The sequence below is a fragment of the Homo sapiens genome, chromosome 10 (genome assembly GCF_000001405.40).
Source record: "Homo sapiens chromosome 10, GRCh38.p14 Primary Assembly".
Lineage (NCBI taxonomy): Eukaryota > Metazoa > Chordata > Mammalia > Primates > Hominidae > Homo > Homo sapiens.
In genome coordinates, this window is record NC_000010.11 from 114,201,285 (window position 1) to 114,225,343 (window position 24,059).

Below are 24,059 nucleotides of genomic sequence, written 5' to 3' on the forward strand. Positions count from 1 at the left end.
CTGAACACCTGATCCTAAATAGCACAATTCTCTTGCCATGGCTAATAGAATGATATTTGCTAAAGTGTGGACTTTGAGAATGTCTTGATCTTCATCTGAACTATTTTGTGGGTGGTGTTTTCTAGGATCGCTGAGGTGCTCTCAGTGCAAGCAGACCTACTATTGCTCCACAGCATGTCAAAGAAGAGACTGGTCTGCACACAGCATCGTGTGCAGGCCTGTTCAGCCAAAGTAAGGATTTATGATCTTTTTATTCATTAAGGATTATGTAAAAGGTTCTGATACAATAAGCGTCCAATTAGTTAAGCAGACCACAACCAAGTAGAAGTTACTTTTTCTTAAGCTCTATAACAAAGTGTACAAATCTGAAGTGAACAGCTCTATGAACTTAATTTTCATGTGTATCATTTTACCAGGTAGTACATGTGAAGATTTATAACCTTCAAAGAGTTTTTCTTTCATGTTTAGAGCTTTAGAATGCCTTACTTTTAATGATGTGTACTTTCCTGGATTTTAATAAGTTTGGAACTCTTACATGCCTCTTGAGTTGTGTTTTTATTTGTAAATACATAAATTGTACTTGCATGGCATTTACCAGTTTACAAAACAGTTTCACATATGACCTCAAAATTCTGTGTAAGTAATGTAGGGAATTATCTCCATTTTACAGATAAGAAAACAGGCTTGGAGATATTCTCTCTGTCTGTCTCCCCCCAACCCTGTCTCTGTCTGTCTCATTAGGTGGCTTTTGGAAGAAGCACACCTGTGCACACACAGGGTGTGGACCACTGTGTAGCCAGCACTGGGGAGTTTTACATTACCACTGTGATTCTGGAAGAAGCTGTTTTGCTCTTTCAGGATTTTGTTCATTGAGAATACCATAATTGTGGTTGATAGCCCCTATGTTAATTGCCTCTGTAGTATAAATATTGTAATCTGTTGCTTTATTGCAGTTTCCACAAACTTGAAAATAAATCATCTATTGAAACAAAGGATGTGGAGGTAAACAATAAGGTATGGTATACTTTGTCTTTAAATTTTGAATAACTCCTCTTTATTGAATTAAGATGTAAGATAAATATTTTAGGCTTATTTCTGTATTTTATCAATATTTAAAGGCAAGTTTCCTATTATATAAATATGTACACCATAGTGATACAATCAGGGGTTTTTGAGAATTACTTCATCTTTTTTTCAAAAAGGATGTGGCAGTATCTCAGTGTAAAATCATGTGGATTAATCATGCCTCTGAAGGCACAGGTTTTAGCTTTATGTGCTGTACTCTAATAGGGCCTAGTTATCTATCTAAGGAGGATTTTTTTTCTGATAGTAGTTCCCCATTTAGGCAACAACATGGGCTGAATTATTTGTAATCCGAAAAACATCCGTCGTGTCCAACTCGTATTTATGAATAATTTTTAGCTTTCTTTAACTGCTTCTAGCCTCTACTTAAAAAAATGTGACTTCAGGTATTCATTCTTACAGAAAACATTAACAAGTGCAGATTTAAAATAATACCTCCACCACCACCATTTTCATTTTTTTTGAAATAAAGTCAACCTTCTCTTCACCCACGTGGCCTTATTCTTGGGTTATTCCCAGTGCTGTGCCCACTGCCTGTGGACAGTGGGTTTTAGTGACTCTTGGAGGCCTTCCCTATTTCTGTGTTCTTTTGTTCAAGCCTAAGAGTTAGGATATTGTGACTGCAGTTCCGACGTGTAGTGGCCATAGAATCATTGAAACATGTGCTTTTAAGTAACTCACTTCTGTGGTATTTTTCAAACCAGAGTGACTGTCCACTTGGAGTTACTAAGGAAATAGCCATTTGGGCTGAGAGAATAATGTTTTCTGATTTGAGAAGTCTACAACTCAAGAAAACCATGGAAATAAAGGTATTTGTTTTTCTTCAATCTCCATAGACACAGATCCAGAGAACTGTATTTATTCTCGTTTCCTATTTTTGAGTTCATGCGGTAGCTACAAAACATAAACATTGCAAAAACTGCCTACAATGCTGTTTGTGTCTTAGTTACAAAGCTTTAAGAAATTTACATTTCCTTGTGTGCCTTATGAATTATTCCTCTTTTTTTTTATCTTTGAAAGGGTACGGTTACCGAATTCAAACACCCAGGGGACTTCTACGTGCAGTTATATTCTTCAGAAGTTTTAGAATACATGAACCAACTCTCTGCCAGCTTAAAAGAAACATATGCAAATGTGCATGAAAAAGACTATATTCCTGTTAAGGGGGAAGTTTGTATTGCCAAGTACACTGTTGATCAGGTAACCTGTAATGAAATGAATTATTTAAAACGTTTGAGCTAACTTTGGTCGTATGAACTGAACACCAGAGCTTTTAATGATGCATGACAAGGCTTAAAGCCAGCCTCTGATCACGCTTCTATTCCTCTTCAGTATCCCGTGCTCTGTTCACCTTGCTTCCTCCCTGTCTTACTCCTCTCCAACTCTGTTTACGGGTTCCTGAATTGCTAGTTGTAGCCTGATGGCTAGTCTTAGAGCTTGTGTTTTATTTAGGTATTAGTGTGTGATAGTCTCATGGGATAGAAGTAGCTTTGGAATAGTTGTGCATATTATTAATAACATGTCCTAACTAGACAATTTTAGGGATTTCTTAGCAAGATTCTTAAAAAATTAAGTTGGCTTATTAATTGAGTGCCTCAGAACAGGAGCCTTTCCTTTGCACGTTCTATAGATTGATTGAGGGTTTTTTAATCTAAGATTGTGAAATGCTGTTATGAAGCAGAGTACCATTATATTTCACTTTCAGACCTGGAACAGAGCAATCATACAAAACGTTGATGTGCAGCAAAAGAAGGCACATGTCTTATATATTGATTATGGAAATGAAGAAATAATTCCATTAAACAGAATTTACCACCTCAACAGGAACATTGACTTGTTTCCTCCTTGTGTGAGTCTCTTTTACTTTCTAGATTTTTAATAGTGTCCCAAAGGAGCTGTTGTCAATGTTTTGATGGGCACAGTGTTTGCTTGTTCTATTCTGCTGTGTTACTGTACCTGTACTATGTAAATAAACACTCATGGGCTATCTTGACCTTATTTAGTTAACTACTGCCCAGGGTGAGAAACTAACATTTTTAGGCACATGTTTTCAATTTGCTCTTCAAAATAATCATTTCTATATTATAGTATCTAAAATTGGTCTTAATTTATGTATAATTGAAGGATAATTATTCTTTCATAAATTTCTCCAGCTTCAAGTACCAAAAGTAAGCGTTATGAATACAGTACTAACAGAGGCTAATAATAATTATACAGAAAATTGTCTATCTGATTAGTACTTGAAGATTTGTGATAAGTTTTCAGCATGAAATACATTCTTTTATATACAAATAATTAGAAAAAATCATTTTTAAATGGTAATTTTTGTAAGTAACCTGCGTAAAATTTTTCAGGCCATAAAGTGCTTTGTAGCCAATGTTATCCCAGCAGAAGGGAATTGGAGCAGTGATTGTATCAAAGCTACTAAACCACTGTTAATGGAGCAGTACTGCTCCATAAAGATTGTCGACATCTTGGAAGAGGAAGTGGTTACCTTTGCTGTAGAAGTTGAGCTGCCAAATTCAGGTAAGATCTGTCTTTTTAAATTGAGTACTTAATAGGATATGTAGTTTCCACCTGTTACTCAGAAGAAACGGAAACATCAAGTGAGGCCAGGTAAACTGCCCTCTGGAGTCATTCAGATTGTGACTGAACCCATTCTTGAAATTGGCAGTTTGTCAAAGACATGACACAAATTCATAGAATTAGGTGGCTGGCTAGATTTAGACTTCATGTGGGTGTAACTACGATCCCTTTAATAGAGCCATTATAATATCTACTCCTGAATATTGGCCCCTTTATTGAGAAAATTCTTGAAGTTCTCTGAATTAGTTTGTCCTTATATCAGTGCTTTTTCTTGGAGTAACCTTCACGGAACTGCATTTGGCTAGTACATAGTAGCTAAGCTGTGGAAATGGAAATGCTTTAGAATTCTCTTCTTCCCTTCTGGCCTTTCACCTGTTTGATAAATGACTTCTCACAGTGTGATGGGTGCCTCCCAGTTTCCAGGGTATCACCCCTCTGCTTTCAGAGATCTGGCATCATGGCTGATTTGGTAGAAAATCGGCTAATCTCTTGTGAAGTTAAGTAAAAATCTGTTGTTTGCTATGTTTCATGTTACAATCTCAGCTTTTGCATATTATTTCAGGGAACTTGAAGTTTGGGTCCATGCTGACCATTCTTTCAGCCATACTTATGTCTTAAATTAATTTCCCACAAACAGTAGTCATTCTAAGCATATTTGTGAGGTGGTAAACAAATCTTTCGTGTTCTTCAGGATTTCAAAGTGAGATCTTTTTGTTAAAATTTCTGTCAAATAGAGGGTAGAATGGTTACCAGAGGCCGGGAAGGGTAGTCAGGGGCTGGGAGTAGGTGGGGATGGTTAATGGGTACAAAACAAAAAATAGTTAAAAAGACTGAATAAGACCTACTATTCGATAGCACAATAGGGTGACTGTAGTCAATAATAATTGTACATTTTAAAGTAACTTAGACTGTAATTGGATGATTTGTAACTCAAAGGATGCTTGAGGGGATGGTTACCTCCTCTGTGGTGTGTTTATTTCACATGGCATGCCTGTTTCAAAACATCTCATGTAACCTATAAATATGTACACCTACTATGTACTCACAAAAATTTTAAAAATTGTATTTCAGAGAAAAAATTCTGTCAAGTGACTACAGTAATTTTGCCTCAGTGTTTTAAGCTGGGCACTACCATAGCTTACCCATAGGAACTGAATTGGCAAAACATATACCAACCTATTAATAGCTATGAACGTGTGTTGTATGATTGACTTGTTTCTTCTTTACGCTTTTCCCATAATTCTTTGTATAGTTTCTCAATGGAGGCATATTTTCTTAATCACTTTTTAGGAAAACTTTTAGACCATGTGCTTATAGAAATGGGATATGGCTTGAAACCCAGTGGACAAGATTCTAAGAAGGAAAATGCAGATCAAAGTGAGTATAGATTGATATTGAACGGTATAGCGACTTCAGTTATTGAAGACCATCTACCTACTAAACAAAGGCACAACTTTAGCACTGTTAAGACTTGTTAACGATAAACATCCTATGAGCAATTTAAATACGCTGTTTTATATTTAGTAGTATATCATTTCTAATCTCAATCTTTCCTGCCTGTTCTCCTCCTCTGTCCATTTTCCACATGAATCCTTAACATGGTAATCATCAGAGATTATGAAGTATTAAATATCATAACACTTTAGAGTTAGGGTTTGTTTTTTTTTTTTTTTTTTTGAGATGGAGTTTCACTCTTGTTGTCCAAGCTGGAGTGCAATGGCATGGTCTCGGCTCCCTGTAACCTCTGCCTCCCTGGTTCAAGTGATTCTCCTACCTCAGCCTCCGGAGGAGCTGGGATTACAGGCTCCCGCTAGCACGCCCAGCTAATTTTTTGTATTTTTAGTAGAGACAGGGTTTCACCATGTTGGCCAGGCTGGTCTCAAACTCCTGACCTGAGAGTGATTCGCCCGCCTCAGCCTCCCAAAGTGCTGGGATTACAGGCGTGAGCCACTACGCCCTGCCAAGTTAGGGCTTTTTAGCTCACATTTTCTTAGTTTGTTTTTCTTCCTTCTTGGGTATTCCACCAGTAATTAATAGGGCTGCAAAATTCTGTTCCAGTAGGACAGTGTTTCTGATGACTGTTTACTCCTGTAAAAGCTTGTGTGTGTGGTTTATTTAGATTAACAAGAGAACCAAGAAATTTTGCTTTCAGCATTTTACTTCCTCATTGCCTAATCACCTGTGTTTGTATTATCTTTTTGATCCTTTACTTTGCTCCTGTACTGATTGCTTTAGGAGTAGATATAATTCATTGTCTCTTACTCATTCATCCAGAGGTGATTGCTAGAGTAACAGTGCCGTGGTTGGACACATCCTATCACATAAGCACACTGGAATCATCCTTAAATCTACCTTCTTACCTCCCATCCTTTGCCCTAATTGGTTGCCAAGTCTTTATTGATTCTTCTTCCCAAGTATCCCTTGTATATGTCTTTTTTCTTTCTTTCCCTACTACCATTTTCTTAGCTCAGGAATCCTCATCATTCATGGACAATTGAAACAATTTTCCAATGTCATAGTTTATCTCCCTATCTGCATTCTTAGAGTACTTGCCTATGTGATATGCCTAAGAACACACATCTTGGTGGGACAGCTCTGATGAAAAGCTTTCAGTTCTTTGTCATTTAGAGAAGGAAACCAAACAGAGGTCTAGTGGTAGTCATGGTTGAAACCGTAGGTTCTGGTGCAATAGAGTGAGGAAGAATGAGGAAGATGAAGCTGGGGCCTGCAACATGGAGTGAGGAGCTATAATGGGAAAGGTGGGAACAGAATGGGAAAAACCTTGCCAGAGCAACAGAGGGTACATGCTTCCAGGAGGGGGAGTCATCAGTAATATCAGATGCTATGAAGGTATCCAGTGGAAGGAACAAGAAAACCACTGAGCAATATCTTCTTCGCTAAGGCACTGTGAAGGTGCCTTCATGAAGGCTAAGGCCAGTACAGACAAGCAGAAGAAATTATGTGGGATAGAGAAATTAGGTGTGATAGAGAAGTGCAGGGTGCAACGGAAGCAGGTGGGAGGGTACCTAAGACTTGCAATAAAGCCATCTGGAAGTGATGCCACACGGAGCAGGAAATAACCAGGTGCTGCCAGTGGGGAGTATGTTGCAAGAAAACGAACATGTGTTAAGGCCTAGAGATAGGGAAAAAGCATGAGCAGGCCTGAGAAACTGAAAAATAAGTAGGGCTAGATTTGACTGCTGGTGAAGAGGTATAGGATGGGGAAGTATTGGTCAGGAGGTAAGCTAGAGCGGATCATTAAAGGTCGCAGGAGCTGTGTTAAGGGGTTTGGACATGATTCTGAAGCCAACATAGAGAATGGAGCCTTGAGATACCTCTGGATTCAGTTTGTTGGATTCAAGTAATGTTGGTGGGTATGGAAGAATCAGATTTGGAAGTCAGAAAAGATGAGATATGGTATATTAAGAGTTCCCTTTAAACCACCTTCTTAAAAATTTAGCTGTGCCTCTGTCACACAATTAAATCAGTCCTCCTGTCCTGCCCCTTCTTGACCTAGCCTGGCTGAAAGCCTTTACAACTTGGTCTCTAATGTCAGCATACCGAGCTAGCGACATCACCATGCTTTTGTCCCCTCTCCTCCTACTGTGTTCCTAAGCCCAGCTGCACTCAGCCTGGCATTATGATTGTGCACCCTCTTGTGCTATTTATGACACTGTAGCTCCTGATTGAACATCTTCTGTCTCCTACAAGATTTAGACTATCTAGAGGCAAAGACTGTGGCCTTTTACTTAACTACTTCTTAGTAGTTACTTAACTACTTGCTTAGTATGGCATCTGACATACATTAGATGTTTAAGATACAATTTTTTTTTTTTTTTGAGACAGAGTCTCGCTCTGTCACCAGGCTAGAGTGCAGTGCTGTGATCTCAGCTCCCTGCAACCTCCGCCTCCTAGGTTCAAGTGATTCTCCTGCTTCAGCCTCCCAAGTGGCTGGGACTAGTAGGTGGGAGCTGCACGCCACCATGCCCAGCTGATTTTTTTGTATTTTTAGTAGAGACAGTGTTTCACCATGTTGGCCAGGATGGTCTCCATCTCCTGACCTCGTGAACTGCCCGCCTCGGCCTCCCAAAGTGCTCTGATTACAAGCGTGAGCCACACCTGGCCAGATATAATTTTTAAAAGCTGGCACAGCTACTCAGGAGGCTGAGGTGGGAGGAGGGCTTGGAGACCAGGAGTTTGAGGCCCCAGTATGCCATGATTGTACCTGTTAATAGCCACCACACTCCAGCATGGGCAACATAGCAAGACCTCTTAAAAAAACAATAACTCATGGAGGATCTTATGATGGACTCATGCAGCTGAATGGAACTATCCAGATCTCCCACTCCACCTATGTACACGTGAAGAAGCAGAAGCTGACTGGTCCAGTGGGTTACCTTAAGCCTGGAGATAGAGAACCAGAATCTCAGCCCCCTTACTCCAGTTTAGTGCTCTTTCCACCATTATGCATCCTGTGCTGTGAAACAACAGGACAACAGTTCATTTTCCTTGCTATTAAGTTTTTCTCTTGCCTTCTCCCTTATGTTGTGATTTCTTTTGGAAACATTTTAAGAAATGGTTTTTAATTTGAGCCTATCTCTTAACTTTTACACTTGAGATCATTAAATTTACTTTGGCTACTGTTTTGAGCCAATTATCCATTTCAATGGGATTTCTAACATAACTTCAACAATCGATTGTAACACATTCTGAGAGGTCATTCCTAGATATGAAATTCCCTCCACTTTTTGTGGTCTATCCCAGCCTCCCCTTTGTCTTCAGAGTCAACCTATAGGTTCATGGTGAGAACCATTTCCTTTAATAAGTCTATAATCTAGATAATTATTTTCTTATATTTCTGTGTTTAAAACAATGAAGTCAGCCTTAGTTTTATGTGAATGATATCTTATCCTTTAATTCCTTAAAACAGTAGTAGTTTTTGTTTTCCAGGATTCTGATAAGTTGCCATAATGTCTCTAAGTCTTGATGCTAAAAATATATTCCTTGCATAGTTGGAATTTTATAAACCATGTACTTTTTTCATTTCTGTGAGTTTTCTCTTCTGAGATACTTTTCACTGTGCTTTTGAAGCCTTTCCTTCTTAAACTCTTAGGTTAGCCCTAATTATTTTTCTCTTGACTTGTGACTTTATGTTGCTTGTATCTTTTTTGAACTGTTGAATGCATTTTAAATTTCTAATTATTTTATCCTAATAAATTGTTCCCTATGGGGTTTATCATTTTCACTTTAGAGTGAGTAGGTCCTAATCTAATCTGATGTGTTTCTACTTGAGTATAATGAGACGATATCTATTCCAAATTACATTTTCTTGAACTCTTTTAGGGACTATAAAGAGTGTATTATAGAGTGTTTTAATTAGATCTGAACTTGTCTAAGTCGCTGATTTTCTTTCTTGGACCAGTCTAGCTTTTGGTGACATCGAAAACTGAGCTTATTATAAACATTTATTACTGGGAAGAAGAAACACCATGACCTCTCAGACTGCCATCTTCCAGGAACCTTGCAGTCATAGTCATATTCGTTTTAAAATGATTAAAGCGTGCATAATTTTTTTTTTACTTTGGATGAAAACAAAATGGCTTATTTTTCTGTTTTCTTCTGATAAGGTGATCCTGAAGATGTTGGAAAAATGACAACTGAAAACAACATTGTCGTAGACAAAAGTGACCTAATCCCAAAAGTGTTAACTTTGAATGTAGGTGATGAGTTTTGTGGTGTGGTTGCCCACATTCAAACACCAGAAGACTTCTTTTGTCAACAACTGCAAAGTGGCCGTAAGTCAGCTTTCTTGATTTGCTCTATGAAGCTAAAATACTTCAAGAGACTTGACATGTAGAAATAATGTATAGATACGTATTTCTTTAAGATGTGATCTTTATCTGCAGGAAAGCTTGCTGAACTTCAGGCATCCCTTAGCAAGTACTGTGATCAGTTGCCTCCACGCTCTGATTTTTATCCAGCCATTGGTGATATATGTTGTGCTCAGTTCTCAGGTAAGGACAGAGTATTACTGATTTTTAAAATTTATTTTTATTTATTTTTTACTTAGAATTGAGTAAAAACCATTGAAACAGAGTCTTTGGTTTGCACTGATGGCTGGATTTAAAGCTTGAATATTAGAGTGAACCAATCATGTTTTTAAATAGATCAAATTAAACTGGTTGAAAGGAGTGTGGTCTGACCTGGGTAAGGGCAGAGCGTCTGTGTGTCAAGGAGGTGGAGATATAAAGGAGGTATTTTTGGTTATTTTGTCAGCCTTTTGGTTTTGGGGACTGGTAAAGATAATTTGGTTTAAGCTAATAGGGGGATGTGGAACCTCCCCAGGTTCATATCTTCACCGGTTTTATTGAAATAGCAAGAGGGCCTGGAAGTGTGGAGCTGTCATGGTGCAGCTTTTGGACGGCACAAGTCCTGCCTTGCGATAACCAGGTTCTGTTACTCTCTGCCGAAGAGAGGCCCGGTGGCCTCATGGAAGGGGAGACGCAGTAATCCTTCAGTAAATTCATCACTTGGTTAGTGGAGTCTGGTTGACTCATGCTTGCCAGGTGTTTTAAAACTAGTCTTGCTATTGAATGCTTCATGTATTGATTGAGACCTTGTGATTCACATGATCAGGATATGTTCTCTGTACTAATGAGCTAACTCTACTGGAGAGACAAGGCATGTAAACTAATGATTACAGCGTAAGACATAATTACTATAGTAAGCTATTAATATTACATTTTAGGAGTTGAAGGCTTCTGATAAGCAAAATTAGTAAACATTGTTCTATAAGCTTGATATCTATTAAAGAAAAATCTATAAATGACCATCTCTAAGTTGAGGAAGAAAGGTTTTTATTTACATCTACAGTGGAAAAATCATTTGAGATTGAGTCTCTCCCTTTTTCAGAGGATGATCAGTGGTACCGTGCCTCTGTTTTGGCTTACGCTTCTGAAGAATCTGTACTGGTCGGATATGTAGATTATGGAAACTTTGAAATCCTTAGTTTGATGAGACTTTGTCCCATAATCCCAAAGTTGTTGGAATTGCCAATGCAAGCTATAAAGTGTGTACTAGCAGGTATGAAATTTTTATAGCCTCCATATTCTTTAAAAATTCTACAGATGAAGAAACATGAAAAGATACACGAAATAGGGAAAAGCTGCTTCTCAAAACAACATCATGATCAGATGCTTAAAAGTTACTATAAATGTCATTTATCCCAAAGAAATCAGAGATTTCTTTCCATGTCAATTAGTTGGCTTCATTCAAACGTACCATAATTTAGAAAGAATATCCTATCTCAGAGGGCATTACATTTGCAGCATATCCAAGATCTTTTCCTCAGGCTGTGTTGCAAGATATAGTTATATCCCAAAATACTTCCTTAGGCTACATTCCCACAGGTGGAACAGGTCAGTAAGTCTCCTTCTTTTCATGTTTGTGATACATATTGTACATTTTCTTCCAGAAAGGGTTGACCTAGTTTACATGCCCAACGAAAAAGTATGAGAGAGTCCATTCTCATACACATTGGTGCATCAAAGGGTTGCTTCTATATTATTTCATCCTGGCCAATTTTGATAAGCTAAAGGTGAAATTTCAATTCGCCTCATTACTAGTGAGGCTAAACATTGTTTTGTAAGTTACTTGGCCCTTGCATTTCGTAAACTGACTGAAGCATAACTGTTGGATTGCTGATTTGTAAGTGCCCTTTCAGTGTTGAGTTGTAAGTGCCACCAATGTTTCATATGTTAATATAAGGGACCAGTACTTCTTCAGAGATTGTTTTATACTTTTGTTTATGGCTTTCTTAATTTTATTGGGCTATAATTTTCCTACCTACCATAATGTTCACTTTAGGTGTTAACTATACAATTCAGTAATTCTCAGTAAACTTACTGAGTTGTACAAACATCACCGTAATCTGATTTAGAACATTTCCATCACCCTGGTATGGTCTCTCGTGCCTATTAATGGTTAGTCCTTGCTCCCCAGGTAATAACTAATCTACTTTCTGGCTCTGTAGATTTGTGTTTCTGGACATTGTGTATCAATGGAATTACGTGGTTTTTGTTTTACATATTATAGAAGCTTTTTACAAGCTTTTGCTTTTTCTTTTTTTTCTTGGTAGAGATGTGAGTCTGGCCATGTTGCCCAGTCTGGTCTCAAATCGGCCTCGGCCTCCCGGCGTGCTGGAATGAACCATTGCCCACCAGCAGGCTTTTTCTTTGTTAATTATGCATTCATTTTTATGTTCTTCTTAAGTGACACGTTTCCGTTCCAGTGTTTGCCATAGGTTTCTTAAGTTTACCTTGGGGGAAATTAGGAGCTAAATTTCTAAATGCTTTCAGAATAATTGTAACATTCATTCAAAATTCTTTGTTAGGAGTAAAGCCATCATTAGGAATTTGGACTCCAGAAGCTATTTGTCTCATGAAAAAACTTGTACAGAACAAAATAATCACAGTGAAAGTGGTGGACAAGTTGGAAAACAGTTCCCTGGTGGAGCTTATTGATAAATCCGAGACGCCTCATGTCAGTGTTAGCAAAGTTCTCCTAGATGCAGGCTTTGCTGTGGGAGAACAGAGTATGGTGACAGATAAACCCAGTGACGTGAAAGAAACCAGTGGTAAGTCAAATGTTTACTGGATAATGCCTGTTCTGGAGTTCAGATGGTTCTATAAATAAATAGTTTCTTGTACTTATAAAAAGAATTTATGTTGAATGCCTTTCATCTTTTTAAATCAAGCATTCATCTAAATACTTGTAAGAATGTTTGAAAAATAAAATTTTATGGGGAGTTTTATAGGTTGCCAGCAGCTGATGATCAGAAATGTAAATTTGAAATTTACTTAGATAATAATTTATTGTAAGACTGACTTTACGGTTAATATTCCTATAAAGGCACTTAAAAAGTCAGTGGAAATTCAGTTCTTCAAAAGCGGGTTCCTCAGCCACCCCAACCTCGCTACATCCCTCCTCCACTATGTCCATTTAATGTTTAATTATTTTCACAGTTCCCTTGGGTGTGGAAGGAAAAGTAAATCCATTGGAGTGGACATGGGTTGAACTTGGTGTTGACCAAACAGTAGATGTTGTGGTCTGTGTGATATATAGTCCTGGAGAATTTTATTGCCATGTGCTTAAAGAGGATGGTAAGTTGATTCTTGTCATTTGTTTCTTTTTACAAATACATTGGCATAGATAATAACTTCACATGAGTTTGTTACTAAGTGATAAAAGTACCTCTTTCCAAGAAGAGCCAAGTGGTATTTGTATTTCCAAGAAAGATTTGGTTATACTTAGTTAGCTTTTATTCTCTTTTAAGCCATTATTTCTATTTTCAACAATACCTCTTTATATTTAAACTAGTTTACATTTCATAGAGTATCTCCTAAATTCATTTACAGAAATTAATTCGGCCTGGTATAGTGGCTCACTCCTATAATCCTAACACTTTGGGAGGCTGAGGCAAGAGGATGACGAGGCCAAGAACTCAAGGGTGCGGTGAGGCTTGATCATACCAGTGTACTCCAGCCTGGGCAGCAGAGCTAGACCGTGTCTCTGGAAAACAAACAAACAAACAAAAAACAAATTTAACTTGTGTTGAAGTATTAGTGTAACGTATAGATACATGTGTATATAGGAGTACAACATAATGAATTATCACAAACTCCACACACTTGTATAACTAGCCTCTAAGTCAAGCAATAAAACATTACCAGTATCCCAGAAGTTTCCCTCCTATCCCCTCCCATCATTACCTCTTCTTTCTTTCTTTTTTTTTTTTTTCATTGAGATGGAGTCTCGCTCTGTTGCCCAGGCCTGAGTGCAGTGGCACAGTGTAGGCTCACTGCAACCTCTGCCTCCCAGGTTCAAGCGATTCTCCTGTCTCAGCCTCCTGAGTAGCTGGGACTATAGGCATGTGCCACCACGCCCAGTTAATTTTTTTTTTGTATTTTTAATAAAGGTGGGGTTTCACCGTGTTAGCCAGGATGGTCTCGATCTCCTGACCTTGTGAATCCACCTGCCTCGGCCTCCCAAAGTGCTGGGATTACAGGTGTGAGCCACTGTGCCCAAGCTGCCACCTCTCTCTTTCAAAAGTAAACATCTTGCTTTCTAATAGCATAGATAAGTTCTTCCTGGTTTTGAACTTTCTAGAAATGGAATTACACACTATGCGAGCTTCTGAGCCTTGCTGCTGCCCCCTGCACTGTGAGATTGTTACATGTCTGTACCTTGTTTTTCCTTGCTGCATAGTGTTCCATTGTATGTTACATGTATCTGTATCTTATTTTTCCTTGCTGCATAGTGTTCTGTGAATTGTATTGCAGTTTCTTTCTACCATTGGACACTTGGCCTGTTTTGCTTGGGCTGTAAATTAGTGTTGCTGTGAACATTACAGCATATCTGGTGCACATGTGCAGGCATTTTCATGGAGTCCAAACCTAGGAATGAAATTATTAGGTCATAAAGGGTATGTAAATTTGCAGCTTCCCCATCTACAAAGGCCAGTTTCTGAAGTGATTCAGAAACATCTAGTTGCTCCACATCCTCACAAACATTGTGTGTTTTCTTTTTCATTTGAGCCGTTCTGATGAGCATCATTGATCTTAAGTTTTCCAAATATTGGTTTTTCTTTGTCAAATAAGGACATTAAAGTAGATAACTAAGGCCCTGTCTGACCCCATAGTTGTGAGATTTGTCATTTCTTCATTCAGAATCATCTGGTTGGTAGGCCACCATTCCATATAGGATAAAATTTACAGTTTTGAAGTTCCTTTTTATTTTTAAAGGTGATTATACAAACATAATATAAAAATTCTAAAGATGAAGAAGGAAACATGAAAACATGTTTCAAAAGTGTATATAGTGCAAAGTAAGTTTCCTGGTTCCTCTTCTCAATTTTCCAAATATTTTTTCAGAGATACTCTATACATATGCTTGTATGAGTATATATAATCCTTTTCTATATCTATCAACAGTATAAAATGGTAAGTAATTTTTGCATTTTTTCTTCCACTACATTTTGGATATCAGTTCACATACTGTTTTCTCCAGTCTCTTTTTAAATAACAGTTTTTATTTTGGAATAATTTTAGGTATACAGAAAGTCACAAAGATGGTACATAGAGTTCCTGTATACACCTCACCCAGCTTCTCCTGTAGTTAGCATGTGATCGTGGCACATTTGTCGCAACAAAGAGACCAACAGTGGTATATTACCATTAAATGAACCCCAAACTTTATTTGGTTTTTGCTAGATTTTTCACTAGTGTCCTTTTTCTGTTCAGGAGCCACTCTGTGACACCACATTGCTGTTTAGTCTCTATTCTTTTTCATGGCTACATGGTATTCCACTGTGTGGGTTTATCCTAATTTAATTAACCTAAGTTAACATCTAGTTGCTCCACATCCTCACAAACATTGTGTTTTTTCTTTTTTGTTTGAGCCATTCTGATGAGCATCATTGATCTTAACTTTTCCAAATCTTGGTTTTTCTTTGTTAAATAAGGACATTAAACTAGATAACTAAGGTCCTATCTGACCCCATGGTTGTGAGATTTAACCTAAGTGTGGATACACACTACTAAGTGTGGATAAATACAGGATTAGTGGTTTCCAAGCTTTTATTACTAAAACAAATCCTTGTACTGTGATTTTTACTTTAGGAGTAGATCTCTGGGACAAGTTGCTAAAATTGTAATGAGAGTATTAGGTCAAAGGAATATGTGTATTTGTGCTTTTGAGAGCTAGTGTTCTTCAGAGGCCAGCCAAACAATCCCCCAGCAGCAGAGTGTATCATTGTCTATTGTGTGTCCTTAAACTTTATTTAGCCTAATCTGAAAGGTGAAACATCTGAAACATTAGAATTTATTTTCCATTTTAGTAAATGAGCCTTTGTCACATTCTTAAAAGGCATTTGCTTTTCTTTTACTACTACTAAGTGGTTTAGATCCCTTCTGCATTCAGAAGCTCTCCATGGTCTGCATTTTGCAGGGACAGCTCCAATGTCTCTCTCCAGTGGCCACTTCTCCACTTCTGCGCTTCGCTAGCCTGCTGCCCACTTTTGGTTGCCTAATTTCATAATTCTGTCCTTTGTCTGAGAGCCATGTCTTCCTTCTGGAAATACCCTCTCCTTCAAATGTGATGTACTTTGTATTTCTGTATGAAACCTCCAGCACGCAGAGCTCATGAGCTCTGACTTCTTATACATTACCTGTGCCATCCATTTAGTGATTATAGTCACTTTCAGGACAGCTTTTATGTAGCTTCTGTATGGGCTTGTATGCTGTTTTCTTATCTCCCTGCAAAGTTCATGCTTTAGTGTACTGATAATCATGCTGTAATTGTTTCTTTTTGCCCAGTAAATCGTTGGTGTTGGGTTTATTGAAAGTATTAACTAAATAACAACTTATTTGCCCAGTAGTTTTTTAATAAGGAAAAGCATTGGGTAGACTTAATAGTAGTTTAGGGAGGTACCTGTCTTGATCATAAAAATCACGTTTTCTGACTTTAAAGGAAAATCTGTGTTGTTTATTTTTTAATATGTTCTTAATTTTTTAATCCTATGTGTATTTTCAGCTTTAAAGAAACTCAATGATTTGAACAAGTCATTAGCAGAACACTGCCAGCAGAAGTTACCTAATGGTTTCAAGGCAGAGATAGGACAACCTTGTTGTGCTTTTTTTGCAGGTAAGTTGCAATTGATGCAATCTTGACTTTTAGAACCTTATATTTCTTAACTTAACCTTATTTTTAGTGCACATTTTCTTAATGCTTAAGCAAACATTTTTCATGGCCAAGAATGAATGAATGCTTACAATGTCATGTGTTTTTCCTTCTCTTTGTAACAAGGAACTTACAAGTGATACTTTCTTGCCTTAACTTTATTAAACATTATTTTAATGCTTTTCTTTCCAGAATTTCTGTTAATATTAAAATAACTTAGCTCATGGAAGCGCTGTTCACAGCAGGTTCATTGTTTCTTCTGGTTACTATAAGTATTTACAGTATTTTGAAAATGTAATTGAGACATCTTCATTACAATAATTTTTTTACTATTTACTACTTAAATTATTTTACCACATAACAAGTAAAATAATCTGAGCCATTAGTACCAAGAGTATTATACATCTCCAAAACTGACAAGTATATTCAAGTCTTATCTTCACCTTCACATTCTGTTTATTGGATAGGTTATGAATGAAATCTTTAATTCATATCAAATGTAAAAGTATGGCACTATACATTTTGGAGATAGTCTAAAAATAGATTTTGAGAATTCTTTCATTCTAGAGATTTTTGAATTTTGAAAAATGAAAGGCGTGATTTGGGAAAGTAAGCAAATTTATTACCTACTTTTAGACAAAGGGTGGCTTTTTTCAAGATAAGTATTTCAAGTGTCGATAGAAAGGAAATGTTCCATGTCACAAACTGTGTGTTAAACCTAGGTGATGGTAGTTGGTATCGTGCTTTAGTCAAGGAAATCTTACCAAATGGACATGTTAAAGTACATTTTGTGGATTATGGAAACATCGAAGAAGTTACTGCAGATGAACTCCGAATGATATCATCAACATTTTTAAACCTTCCCTTTCAGGGAATACGGTGCCAGTTAGCAGGTATGGTATACAATAAGAAACTTTCTCAACTTTCTAATACTTGGGGCATATAATCCAAGTGTTAATATCTACAATGTTAACATTTCGTGTGAGTTAGAGGATCCTGCTTCATATTATAAAACTTAGAAATTTTACTTACAATATTGACCAAAAACGTCCAGTGTTGTCAGAGTAGGGAAGCGGCTCCTTTACTGACCACAGGAATAAAAACTGCACGATCCTCTGGAAGGCATTGGCAGGATTCCTTAAGAACCTCCAGCGTTCATACCTTCTGACTTAGTAATTTTGCTCCTAGTAATTTATCCCAGAGAAATCCAGGAATTGCACAGAATAGGTTACAAAAATAATTATTACACCACTGATAATAATGGCAAAATAACATAAATAGTCAATAATAGCAGATTGGGTAAATGATCCATAAAATGGATAATGATAGTACTTATTTTGTAGGGTTGTTGGGAGGATTAAATGAAGGTTTAGGACAGGGTCTGGCACTCAAAGTTCTACATGTTTAGCTGTCTATTGCACAGTCATTAAGATGATGTTAAATATGTGTTATTGATATGAAGAATTGTTCATGATTTAAGTGAAGAAAACAGGTTATAAAAGAGTGTTGTGATAAAGACAATAGACGTCAGAGCCAACTGCTGCTTGCTGTCTATGAGACGTTTAGGCAAATTATTTAAACTTTCTGTGCTTCTGTTTCCTCATCTGGAAATTATTCCTACCTTCCTCAAAGAGTTGTTAAGAGAAAAATATAAAGCACTTAACAGTGCTTGGCATTATACCTATAGTAGCGGTTATTATAAAAACTTTATAATAGAATATATAAGAGAATGTGTGTATATGTGTGTATTTTGGACATCTGCACATAAAAGTTGTGGCTGGTTGGATTCCAAAATTCAACAGTGGTAAAGTCAGGCAGCATAGATGGATTTATTTCTTCTGCTAATCTGTTTCTGTTTATTTTATAATATATTTCAGATTATTGTTCTTTTTTTAATTTTTTTTTTTTTTTTTGAGATGGGGTTTCACTGTTGTTGCCCAGGCTGGAGTGCAATGGCACAATCTCGGCTCACTGCAACCTCTGCCTCCCAGATTCAAGCGATTCTCCTACCTCATCAGCCTCCTGAGTAGCTGGGATTACAGGCATGTGCCACCACGCCCAACTAATTTTTTGTATTTTTAGTAGAGACGGGGTTTCTCCATGTTGGTCAGGCTGGTCTTGAAATCCTGACCTCAGGTGATCCACCTGCCTCCACCTCCCAAAGTGCTGGGATTACAGGCATGAGCCACTGTGCCCGGCCCAGATTATTGTTCTTAATTACCATATTTTATTCCAGTGCTGCTTAAATTATGGCCCCCAAACCAGCAACATCAACATGGGAACTTGTTAATAACTGCAGATTTTCAGCCCCCACCCAAGACCCAGACCTACCAAAATTAGAAACTCTGGGTAGGGCCCCACAGTCTGTGTTTTAACAAGGCCTCTAGGTGATTGAGATACATGTTCAAGTTTGAAAATCGCTGCTAAGAAAACAAGGGTGTAAGCCAAAATTATCCAAGAAAAATAATTTTTGCTTACATAATGAAAAACATTTTGAAGTTATTAGAAAACTCTCCACAAAGGTGGCAGTATATCAGCTGACATCTTCTACCAGCATAATGGTTAACTCATACATAACAGAACATGATGGTGAATTCTAAAACAGTACTCCTTTTTCTATTGGAAAATGCCCGGTAAAGATATGTTAGCAGAGAACGTAAGGAAAGATCCTGAGCCTCCTAAAACCCTAGAGTGTATTAGCAAGTGCATTATCTCTTAAGTCAGGCATGCAGGATGTAGGTGTATAATTGAATATTGAAGATACTGAGAATTGCTGACCTGAAAGTAAACTTGGCAAAGACCTGGTGCTGGGTACTACTAAAGCAAAAATGAAACTTGTTCATAGGATTCTTTTTACTGCTGTCCTTATTTTCTAGATATACAGTCTAGAAACAAACATTGGTCTGAAGAAGCCATAACAAGATTCCAGATGTGTGTTGCTGGGATAAAATTGCAAGCCAGAGTGGTTGAAGTCACTGAAAATGGGATAGGAGTTGAACTCACCGATCTCTCCACTTGTTATCCCAGAATAATTAGTGATGTTCTGATTGATGAACATCTGGTTTTAAAATCTGCTTCACCACATAAAGACTTACCAAATGACAGACTTGTTAATAAACATGAGCTTCAAGTTCATGTACAGGGACTTCAAGGTAACATTTTAAAACCATTTATTTGTTTAAATTTGTTATTCTTTGCTCTCAGAGACTATGAAAAATTTTCCATCATAAATGACAGTTTTCCTGTAGAGATATGCTTTACGGACATAGATTAGTAGGTTAATATTGTATTATTATTAAATTATTGAACAAACATTCATTTCAATGTAATTGTCAGATAAACATATACAGAGATATCTCACTTAGAAGCTTGAGTAAGTTGTAAGAATTATATTAAATATTTGACAGAGATGGAAATATACAGAAATAAACTACAGGAGTGTAATAGTTCAAGGATTTCATTGTAGACTGAACTTTTTCGTACTGCCCACAAAATCCCTCAAATAGAATAGATTGTTTTGTGAAAAAATACAGATTTTTATTTTGGGGATTTGGAAATGTTGATAATCATTTCATGAACAAATGATTGAATTAAATATGTTACTGAGGAAAACAACAGTACATTTTTTTTATTCCGTGTGAGACCTGTGTTTTGTATGTTTCCAGCTACCTCTTCAGCTGAGCAATGGAAGACGATAGAATTGCCAGTGGATAAAACTATACAAGCAAATGTATTAGAAATCATAAGCCCAAACTTGTTTTATGCTCTACCAAAAGGGATGCCAGGTAAGAAACCAAAATTTGAGACATATTTATGCTCATCTTTTAAACTGTAAAACGAAAGTGCTGGTCTTGAATTCCTTTGGGAATGAAGGGGAGAAAGAGGCTCACTGTTTTAAGGAAGAACTGATCATAACACTTAAGGCAAATTTAGTTACGAAACACTAGCGGGAACATGAAGGGAAGCCCTACTACAGTCAGCACCTACCTGCCCAGTAGCCTGGTCTACAGCTTTTTATAACAGAAGTGTCCTTAATTACTGTATAATTTCTTGTTTAAAAAACACATTATCTATATTGAATCATATTTACTGCTTTAGATATATCGAAAGACTTTGTAATCCATTCATAATCATAGCTTTACTATACCTTAGAGACGTAGAGAAATGTTTCACACTAGAACGAATCTTGAAGAAAAGTAGCATATAAAAATTTATTTTTAATTTTCCTTTTGTTGTTTCATGGAAGTTGCAATTAAGGAATCTCTTAAATGTATATGACTTTATCCTTGTAGTATCTGAAGATGAGTTAGTGCAAGCTGAGTGCTGTCTTTTTAGAATAATTTGCAGGCACTTTTAAAGCTGAAAAAATGAAACTTTTGTTTCAAATTTTCAAAGTTAGAACTGTGGTAATGCCAATAACTGCTCTTAAATTTATCTCTAATACTACAAAAGGATCTTTATTCTGTGTACTAAAAAGCAGGAGCTTAGGGTTATTTGATCCTGACAACATGTTGTATGATGAATTGGAAATGCTATTGAGGATAATTTTATTAAGTATAACACTTACTGAAAAGTACACTAAACAATTGTAAAAATACAGCTTAATAAGTTTTCACAGAGTGAACAAACCAGTATAACCACCTTGATCAAGTAGTTGATCCACCGGAGGCTTCCTCCCTGCCCACTCCCGGTATTGATTGCATCCCTTTTGCAAATGGCAACCAATAGTGGGTATATTTTCAAGTATCATGTATATTTTATATACATGTATATATTTTAAATATATTTTAATACACAAAGGGTTTTTGGATTGATTAGACTTGCCATTCTTTTGTATAGTGTTAATAGTAGCACTGGAAATTTTCTTCACAAAAGATTGCTTTTATATATTTTAGAAAATCAGGAAAAGCTGTGCATGTTGACAGCTGAATTATTAGAATACTGCAATGCTCCGAAAAGTCGACCACCCTATAGACCAAGAATTGGAGACGCATGCTGTGCCAAATACACAAGTAAGGTTCTTTTAGGGAAAATATTTGAGGGAAGGTATTTAGTCTGTTTTGTTCTACATGATACTATGTAGATTTTGGTATTTTAGCTGCATATTTCATTTGGTTTAGGGAGAGAAATTAAGGAAGGCAGTGTTGTGGATTTAATTCATATGTTGGTCATTCAGCTTTTCGATTCTATATAGATTATTTTTAGGCAAGGATATAGGTAGATTTCTACAAATCTGTCAGTACTTACAGATAACCAGCTCGAGATAACCACACTATTCTAGTGGATCAGTCACATTACATTTCTTTATGGAGGGGTTGCAAAGAATTCATAGGGTTCCATATGTGAATGTACTAAAAGAAGGATGGAATGCCTCAGGGAGTCAGGCTCATTGATGAGGGTATACTTTGATCCTTCTCCGTTTTAATGTCTCATTTTAACAAATTTCGTATGCTAATATAAATAACACTTGGATTTGCTTCTGGGATCAAGGTTAAGTGGGAGTGGAGCCAGGTTACAGTGCTGCTTCATGGTCCACAGTCAGGTCCAATTGGCAGGCAAGCATGGCTCCTGCCAGTCCCTGGGCAGAGGTGGCTAGTGGCAGGATGGCAGCCACGTGGGGCTAGAGCTGAGTTCACCTGGGGACAGGGCTGCTTTCAGTCAATAGCTGGGAACAAGGTCTTGAAAGTCTGCCACTGGGGCACAGGCCTGCCTTCTCAAAGAGCCTTCCTCAATCTTGGGCTCCAGTGGCGTTTCAAAACCCCCCATCTGGATCCCAAACCTCTCACAAAGGCATTTTTGTGATTAGATGGGCACCAAATTGTTTTTGTTGGGGAGCACAAGTTGGGGACCTTCAAACTTCATGGTCTTGCAGATATTGCACACTAGTTTTGTTTTTCTTTTGTATGAGAACTGGATCTATACTTGCCCTTTCTTTCCAGGATAAATCACAATTTTTGGTTCTATAAGTATTCTGCCTTACTTCATTAGGACTGCATAAGCACTGTTCACAGCTGAGCTGTGTAGTGTATTACAATTACCTTCTCTTTTGCCACTTTTGTCGTTGTTAGTGTTCTATAGACTGTCACTAATTATTTCCAGTGCTCTGCATTAGTGCAAATTCCCTCAAAGAACACAACATGTACTTTCTCAACATTACCATATTGGAGGCATCTTCAGCCTTCAGTCTGCTCCTGTACAGGCTGCTTGTCCCCCAGACCTGAGCTGTTATCCTGGGTTTTTCCTCACCATGCTGAGATCGTTTCAGCCCTGACCCTGTTGTTTCCTGGACGGCACTTCTGCCCCCCACACTGTGTTAGCTAGATTTCTTCTTCCTTCGTCCCACCTTGTTTTTTGGATCCCCAACTTCCCTTTTGATTTACTCCAGTATTTGGGTGGATCCTGTCCTCCAGAAGCTGAGAAAAGGTGCATGTAAGACAAATTTTCTGTTATCTCCCATGTTTGAAAAAGCCTTCAGCCTAATAGTTAATTGATAGGTTGCCTGGATGCAGAATTCTAGATTGGAAATGGTTTTTCACTTAAAATTTTGAGGCACTGCTTTTATTGTGTTTTAGCTATTGGTGTTTCTGGTCAAAAGATTAATGTTATTCCGGATTCCACAAACTTTGTATGTTTTTTCCGCCTTTCTGGAACTGTTAGTATTCTCACCTGTTTTGAAATTTATGATGTGACCTTAGTATGGTGTTTCTTTTTCTACCGTTTTGCTGGGCACTCAGTGGGTGGGCCCCTTACATCTAGAAATTCATGAGCTTCAGTTTGAGAAACTTTCCTGAATTAATGCTTTTAGTTGCTTTTGTTTTCTGTTCTGTTAGGAGCTTCAAGTCTTCTAATGCTGAATTTGAACTCTGCTAAATGTCCTCTTCTCTCTTTCATCTTTTTTGTTCTTAAAGAGATTTCCTCAATTTCACCTTCCAACTTTTTAAATTTAGGTTTTCATTTCTATCACATTTTTAATTTCAATAGCTTTTTTTGTTTTGTTTTTCATGTTTATGTGTTTTAATACTACCCTGTTCTTTCAAGAGTGGAATGTCATTTCTCCAAGGATATTACTGTCAGTCTTCTAATGTTCATTGTCATATTCCTCCTTGGTTTTCTGCCTTGGTTTCCCTAAGGTCCTGTTTTGTTTTGGTCTCCTCTGTGATGTTAGAGGCTTTCTGCAAATCTCTGGTGATCCTATGCTGTTCCTGTATTTAAGATGGGGCACTGAGAAGTTACTGGGAAGTTGCTTTGAGAGTGGGCAGGGGCTTTTCCACTGATGGCCTTCACTGTGGGTGATCTGGCTCTGCCATCTCACTGCAGACTCCCAGTGTCGCCATCTTGATGGGCTGTCACATGGACTGGTGGCCTCCTGCCTGGAGTGCACAGCTTGCCTGCCAGTGTTAAACTCTCCCTTGTCTACTCTGCCTCACGTTCTCCAGTCCATGCCCTCTGTGGTTCATTCTCTCAGGAGAGGAAACCTCCAGTCTTCTGCCCTCAAGTAGCAGCATTATTAAAACATGGGAACACAAAGCTCACCATTCTCTTTAGCAACTTTAAAAATAGGTGTTATATGCAAATGAGTGTATGAACCAAAGCCTATTCAGATGTCTTTGCAAGTAACTCTGCTTCCTTGGCCAATCTTCATTTCCAACTCC

The 24,059-nt window shown here is 37.5% G+C and overlaps 1 protein-coding gene across 26 annotated transcripts in view; it reads left to right on the plus strand.

Moving 5' to 3' along the window:
• TDRD1 (tudor domain containing 1) overlaps positions 1 to 24,059 on the plus strand; it is a 57,793-nt gene that overhangs the window by 26,411 nt on the left and 7,323 nt on the right. For 13 of the 26 annotated variants that reach the window (XM_011539962.2, NM_198795.2, NM_001385365.1 and 10 more), the window contains exons 5-21: positions 126 to 231; positions 954 to 1,014; positions 1,788 to 1,892; positions 2,104 to 2,283; positions 2,789 to 2,932; positions 3,438 to 3,609; positions 4,960 to 5,046; positions 9,297 to 9,464; positions 9,576 to 9,683; positions 10,582 to 10,752; positions 12,062 to 12,304; positions 12,693 to 12,830; positions 16,261 to 16,371; positions 17,130 to 17,300; positions 19,284 to 19,559; positions 20,073 to 20,192; positions 21,303 to 21,419. In XM_011539962.2, the coding sequence (XP_011538264.1) occupies positions 126 to 231; positions 954 to 1,014; positions 1,788 to 1,892; positions 2,104 to 2,283; positions 2,789 to 2,932; positions 3,438 to 3,609; positions 4,960 to 5,046; positions 9,297 to 9,464; positions 9,576 to 9,683; positions 10,582 to 10,752; positions 12,062 to 12,304; positions 12,693 to 12,830; positions 16,261 to 16,371; positions 17,130 to 17,300; positions 19,284 to 19,559; positions 20,073 to 20,192; positions 21,303 to 21,419 (2,478 nt within the window). The remainder of the gene's footprint in view (positions 1 to 125; positions 232 to 953; positions 1,015 to 1,787; positions 1,893 to 2,103; positions 2,284 to 2,788; positions 2,933 to 3,437; positions 3,610 to 4,959; positions 5,047 to 9,296; positions 9,465 to 9,575; positions 9,684 to 10,581; positions 10,753 to 12,061; positions 12,305 to 12,692; positions 12,831 to 16,260; positions 16,372 to 17,129; positions 17,301 to 19,283; positions 19,560 to 20,072; positions 20,193 to 21,302; positions 21,420 to 24,059) is intronic. The other 13 variants (NM_001385366.1, XM_011539964.3, XM_047425489.1 and 10 more) reach the window with 5 other exon arrangements.